At 36.4% G+C, this 7,169-nt stretch overlaps 1 long non-coding RNA gene across 2 annotated transcripts; it reads left to right on the top strand.

The window, feature by feature from the left end:
• Positions 1 to 644: 644 nt before the first annotated feature.
• Positions 645 to 6,066, top strand: LINC01365 (long intergenic non-protein coding RNA 1365). Of its 2 annotated transcripts, NR_110660.2 has the most exons (5): positions 645 to 710; positions 2,270 to 2,438; positions 3,768 to 3,810; positions 4,400 to 4,525; positions 5,926 to 6,066. It is a non-coding gene; the product is annotated as a long intergenic non-protein coding RNA 1365 (long non-coding RNA). The 2 variants fall into 2 exon arrangements; NR_174111.1 differs by lacking the exon at positions 3,768 to 3,810.
• The last annotated feature ends 1,103 nt before the right edge of the window (positions 6,067 to 7,169 follow it).

Below are 7,169 nucleotides of genomic sequence, written 5' to 3'. Positions count from 1 at the left end.
AAGGATATACTTCAACTGGACATCAATCAACTAGATTTAATTGACATTTATTGAAGGTTTCATGCAACAGCAGCAGATTATACATTTTTCTCAAGCTTGCATGTAACATGCACCAAGGTCAACCACATTCTGGGTTATAAAACACATCTTTATCTTAACAAATTAAAAAATAGAAATCATATAAAATATGCTCTCAGAGCACCTTGGAATTAAGTTAGAGATCAATAACAGTAAGATGGCTGGAAAATCCCAAAATATTTGGAGATTAAGCAATACACTTCTAAAGAATACATGGGTCAAAGAAGTCTCAAGAGAAATTTAAACATATTTTAAAGTAGAATAAAATAAAAATACAACTTATCAGAATTTGTGGAATATAGCAAAAGCAGCGCTCATAAGGAAATCTATAGCATTGAATGCATATGAAGAAAAGAAGGAAGATAAAAATTTAATCATCTAAGTTACTACCTAATGTAACTAGAGAAAGAAGACCAATGTAAGCCAGAAATCAATAAATAAACAAGACAATAATGATGTCATAATTAGGAAGATGGTGTCAATGGGCAAAAATGCCTAGAAAAGAAGTCAAAAGATGATGTCACAATTTAATAAAGACACAGCTGTTAAAAGCACAGCATTTAGAAATATGAAGGAAAACATCAGAAGAAACAGGTTAAAGAATTAGATGTGGTCCTCACAGGGAATATTTGGTGAGATGGGGGTGTGGAAAGAGAAGGATAGCAAATGGACTAGGATTTGAGTTCATAATCATAGGAGACTTTAGTCTTCTCTGTCACACTTCAATTTTTATGAGCCACTTGTAGTTATGTATTACCTAAATCATTAAATATTTAGAAAAGGACAATACTTGAAAATATGATCAACTTTGTTCAAAAACATTAAGATCAAAACAGCAAAAAGGCACTATATAGTTTTCCTTATGATACCTATAGAGATTAAAATGTTGAATAAGATCCAATGTGGATAAAACTATTAAAAAAAGGTTTATATACACCGTTTTTGAAACTTTTCAAAAAATTAATTTGCCTTAGCTTTCTAAATTTTAAGTACACTTGCTGTTATTTGTACGCATACTCCTTGAAACAGTAATACCACTTATCAAATTATCCTATAGATAGCTCATAGAAATGCTTGGTTATGTGTGAAAGAGCATTCACTGCAGCATTCCTTGTAATAAAACAGAAACAAAAATATTCTTCAACTGAAGGATTTATGAAAATCCATAATGTGGATTACTGTAGAGTCACTAAAAATAATTATACTAATCTATGTGTGTTAATAATAAAACCTGCCCAAAATATATTAACTGATTATCCAATTTCTATGAAGAAAAATATATATATTTATTATTATTATTAAGTAAAACTAAATTCCAGAAGTGTGTTTGTTAAAACTGATAGAGAAATATAAAACTAATACATGGAATGAGTCTCTGTCAATGTGGTGGCAAATAACTTTGTTTCTCATCACTGCCTTCAAAACAAAGCCCCAACATCCTCCCAGGATAATCTGAGGATGCTTCCTTAACTTTCTGGTCATTCCAGTTATAAGAACAAATCTTATTTCATTAATTACAACTCATTTTTATGTGTTACAAAGTCCAGACAAGTCCAATTGTATCCTTTATTGCCTCATGTAACAAAACTATCCCCAGCCCCATCCAACTTAGGCTCAGAGCTGGGTTTGGAGAACTGCAAGACAGTAGGTTACTGTCAGTATAATCAGCTTTCTCTCTCTCTCTCTCTCTCTCTCACACACACACACACACACACACACACACATCCCCTTTCCTTCCCTCCCTTGATTTTTCACTGCAACTTCCCTACTTGTGAATCTTCCACACTCAGTGCAACTGGAATGGAGATTAGAGGAAAAGAATGATTTCGTAGTTTCCCTACATGGCTGATGTACTGACTGATCTCTTAATTTTTCCCTTGGCCTCAGGCCCTAGTGACCTACCCACCTCACAGCTCCTCACTCCTAGGATCTCTTCTCTGGAGAAGGCAGCAACCTGGGGCAGTGTCTCATCAGGGCAGCTCAACCTCACTGCTTCCCCTTGCCTTATAGGCTCCATAAAATAGTGGGAAAGTAGACTTGCCTTTCTGTTTCTCTCTCTCTCTCTCTCTCTCTCTCTCTCTCTCTCTCTGTCTGTCTGTCTGTCTGCAGCCTCTTGAGCAGCTCCAATATTCCCTCCCACCCCCTACTTCCATGACTTCTGAAGCAACTGTCATTGACATTCTCTCTACAGCCCCTGGCCGCAGATACAAAGGATGCATTTCAAGCTCTCCCAAGAACTCTTGCAGTGCTCCATCCCTGTGTCCTCAGAAATGGCCCTGAGTCTCAGCAGCTCAAAAAGACTCCAGTTGGATAGTGAGAAGCCACTGCTTCCTTGCAAGAACCTTCCCAAATTTCTCTAAGTAATTTTCTTGATATCTCCTCCTACCTACCCTGGAATAATGGCAACACCTGCATAGGGAAGAAAAGAGAAAAGACCAAAGCACTCCTTATTTCTATAAATTCCCTTTCTTCAATACATTATCTTAAATTTCTGCTTTTCTGTTTAGATAGATTGGATGGTAAGGGTGGTGGCAGGGGTTGGGGAGTTGGATGTCCACAGACTAATTTAGCCACTTCTTAGCAAGCCGTTTGATTTTCTGTCTCTCTTGAGAATGTGCAGGTACTTTATAATATATTATTCTCATCTTCCAGGCTTCAGTCAAAATACCACAAAAACAGGAAATTCCCACTGAATATTCAATTAACATATTTATATAGTCATTAGGATAATATATTTAATTTTTTCATATACATGCTGTTACTCTGACATTTATCTTCATTCAGGCAGCAGCTAGTGAGTTCTATGTCTCCAGAAGAGGATAATGCAGAAAAATATACAAGATTATTTTTAAAAAATCAATTTTTTGGCTTTTGGTGTTCAATAACAAATGCCCGAGTGTAAGGCAAAAAACTGAGGAGAATAAATGACCAGATAGGGTCATGCTGATGATCCAAGAAACAAACAAACAAAAAGTGAAAGGTAGCGGCCCGTATAGAAATATGACAGTGACACAGATGAGCTGACCCCATCTCCTTGATGCTATTTGATCTCCCAGAACTTAGAGGCAATCAGAATAATGGGAGTTCCATAAAAAATTAAATTCATGTATAAAAATTAAACTTAGATATTTGCACAACTAGAGGCTCTTATTTGAAATTGGGGGCCAGCATATTTGCTCACTCCTGTAAACCCAACACTGTGGGAGGCCCAGGGGAGAACTGCTTGAGCCCAGGAGTTTGAGACCAGCCTGGCAAACATAGTGAGACTCCATCTTTACAAAAAATGAAAAATTAGCTGGGCATGGTGGCATGCAGCTGTGGTCCCAGCTACTCAGGAGGCTGAAGCAAGATGATTATTTGAGCCCAAAAGGTCGAAACTACAATGAGCCATGATCTTACCACTGCACTCCAGCCTGGGTGATAGGGTGAGACTCTGTCTTAAAAAAAAAAAAAAGAAAACACACACACATACACACAATTTGGACCTTGATACAGTTTGGCTCTGTGTCCCCACTCATAGCTCATGTTGAACTGTAATTCCCAGTGTTAGAGGAGGGGCCTGGTGGGAGGTGATTGAATCACAGGAGCAGAATTCCCCCTTGTTGTTCTCGTGATAGAGTTCTCACAAGACCTGGTTGTTTGAAAGTGTGTAGCACTTCCCGCTTTGTTCTCTCTCTTTCTCCTGCCAGCCATGTGAAGACATGCTTGATTCCCCTCACCTTCACCATGATTGTAAGTTTCCTGAGGCTTCCCCAGAAGTGGAAGCCTGATAGCCCACAGAACTGTGAGCCTATTAAACCTCTTTTCTTTATCAGTTACCCAGTCTCAGGTATGTCTTTATAGCAGTGTGAAAACAGACTAATACAGATCTGGCAGGTATCTATTTCATATAAATAAACAAACAAATATATTTATATAAATGTATCATATATAAATATATCAAGGCTAAGATATATAGCCTTGTATATAAGATATATATCTTATAAGCTGGATGTATATATATACATATATGTATATGTATACGTGTGTATGGGTATATATATACTTAGAAAGTATATAAGTGTATATATACACATATATATAATATCTGGAAGAACACACAACAAACCATTAATGGTGTTTATCTTTAGGGAGTAGAACAGGAGGATAGTAGCGGGGAATATGAACTTTTATTTTCCCCTTAGAAACTTCTGTTAAGTCAAATATTTTTGTAATTTATTCCACAAAGTATAGATTATTTTGTGAAAATGTAGTTAACAATTAACAAGGAACATACTAAAAAATACAAGCCAGAAAAACTACTTAATGTAATTTTTTCTAGTTTCTGGGAGAATAACAAAAAGAAGGAAGATTCAGTAGGAAAGGAAAGCAATGAAGAAGCCAAGAAAGAGACAAGGAACCCCGGAAAGAGAGTCAGCAAAGAGAGAAATAGAAACATTAATTTCAGGTATGAGTAACATGAGGTCAAGGGCTTCAAATACTGTGTCTGTAGCCTCCACCCTTTTAGAGAAACACTGGAAAACTGATGTGCACCTAAAAGGAGACAAGCAGGTTAGTGAAGGAACTGGGAGACATATTGGCTAACGAACTACAGCAAGTTCATGTTCAAATGAGATCAGAAGCTGTATAAAGACTGTAGCCACCTGCAAGACCTTCAGATGGCAGAAAATTAGACTTAAATTTTTGCCTCTGTAGCAAAGAATTAAAACTGAAGAGTAATTAAAACAAAGTGAATTATATCCTCTAGAAAATTTTCTAAAAATTAGAGACATTAATTTAAAACCAATTCTATATATCTTTCAGAGGAGTTGGAAGTGTTGTGAACTATTAATCCTTTAGCTTTGCTTTGGACTTGATAGCAAAAGTAGCTGCATGCAGAAGTAAAATTGTTAAGAATGTCACATAAAATGTGAGGGTGAGCTCAGCATGAAGGAACAGCCTCTTCCATTGGTGAGGTACAATCATCCTTATCTTTAGTAAGAAAGAAGAAGTCATAGCTGTGACAACATCTAGATGACCAGGGTGCCTGACTTTAGGAACCCAAGAGAAAATTTCTGCAGATAGAATTCATGTATAAAATTTATGCATGAATTTATTATTCAGATAAGAAAAGGTATAGACAAAAGGGCACTCCCTTCCTGCCTTCTTTTTTCCTTCCCCTTAGTATCACTGTCTACCACTAAGCAACAGTAAGATTTAACTCTGAATGTCAACCCTAAACATTTACGTGTTAGCACAAGCTCCCACATATTAGATGTCTGATGGCTAAGAAGTGTTCAGAATAGCTTAGCATCAGAATCAAATGTCGGCATTATTTTAGAATGGCAAAATAATAAGCCAAGAATATTCTAGTCCCAGTTCTCTTCCAGACATTAATCACAAGAAATGAGCCCTTCTAATTATCTTTAATTTAGGAAGGAATTCACAAATGACAGCTTGTTATTTGCAGGTCAGAATCAAGACAGCATGTAATATTTAACAATCTTGAAGTTGGAAACTTAAACTGAAGGAAAAAAGAGAGACTGGATAGAAATCAAATGGGTAGTTGTTTTCTTAGTAGGTATTTGCAGGAGCACTTAATAACTTAATTGCAAAGCTCCTTTTTAAAACAAGAAAAGCTATTCACACCTATCTGTTGTGGCATTAAATAGTCATTCAGAGTCTTGGTTAAGTGTTTTCTGTTGGAATCAGAGGCAGCATCAAGAGTTCTCGAATAAGAATCCTAAGAATAACTAGTTGTGACTATTGTTATATAGCTCTGTGCAATTATATATGCTTTATCATATATTAACTTGTTTAATCATCACAAGAACACCCTCTTTCCTGAATATTCTCTTTGCATGACAGGTGAAGAAACTGAAGACTTTAGCCAGAGCCAAGTGGCTAATTCAGAGTTTAATACACCTTTGACCTCAAACCCTTTGTGGTCACCTTTGAACAGTGCCTCCCTCTCTGAAATAAAATACTGGTTCTGTCATTAATTATTAATTATTGATTAATTTCTCTTGATTTTCATTTTCTCCTATGCAAAATTCTGTTACTGAATTACATGAATTCCAAGACCTCTTTCTGATCTAACATCCCATCATTCCCCTGTTAAAAAGATAACATAAAACCAGAAACAAAGTATGTAATTGTAATGCCAAATTTTTAAACATAGTTGATTATTCCACCTTGAAAATGTAAATACTACATGAAGCGTCAACAAATAAACCATTAGGTCAATATTTACTGAGAGCTGACTCTCCATCAGAGTGATGCTTGTAATTGACATGGAGGGCAAAATGATTTTAAAAAGTAAGATTCCTGCCTTCTTGGAACTCAGAGACAAATGTGGGAAATGGGCAACTCAAGAAACAATTTCAAAATCATATGTTAAGTCAAGAAACTGGACATGAAAGAAGGGGCATGTAGTAGACACCAGCAAGTCAGGAAAGGCTCTCTGTCAAGGGAAATGCACTTAGAAGGACAAGAATTTAACCAAGTAAATAAACAGGAGAGAGAAAGATGTTTCATGCAGAGAGTTGCAGATATGAGAATAAGCTAATAGCCTAAAAGTTAATTTGCATACTGTAACCATTCAACTCTCAAAATGTTCCCTTATTTGCCATGTAAACCACAGGTCCTAATGTAGCAGAAGTAATCCTAAATAAATCTGTTCTACAGTTGAGCAAAATGATTTTCATAGATGTTAAGCAACATGACTAAGCCATCCCCATTGTGGCGGATTCGAGTACAAATCCTATGCTCTTTTCCTCTAATCATCACCATCTCCCTGTACATTTCTTTCTTGAGGCTCAGCTGAACATAAATAATCCCGGTGCAGAACACTGGACAACTGAAGCAAAACTGAGTAATTCAAAAGAAGATATATGAATATATAATCAGCTGAAAAACCAGATATGAATCTGCTCTAAACCCATTTCGAAAGCCCTCCTTGAATCTGTTCTGCAGCCATGTATTACAGGCATCTCAAAGAAAGAGATTTTTTTTCTGCAAAATGGTAGCTGGAGGAGAATTTTCTCTCCTCTGAGGTTTAAGAGGGCAAGCCATCAAGCCCACAGAACTGTAAACGTACAATCAGGCTCATT

This window comes from Homo sapiens, chromosome 4 (assembly GCF_000001405.40).
Source record: "Homo sapiens chromosome 4, GRCh38.p14 Primary Assembly".
Classification (NCBI taxonomy): Eukaryota; Metazoa; Chordata; class Mammalia; order Primates; family Hominidae; genus Homo; species Homo sapiens.
The sequence above is the reverse complement of the archived record's forward strand: the minus strand, read 5'-3'. Positions and strand labels throughout refer to the sequence as shown.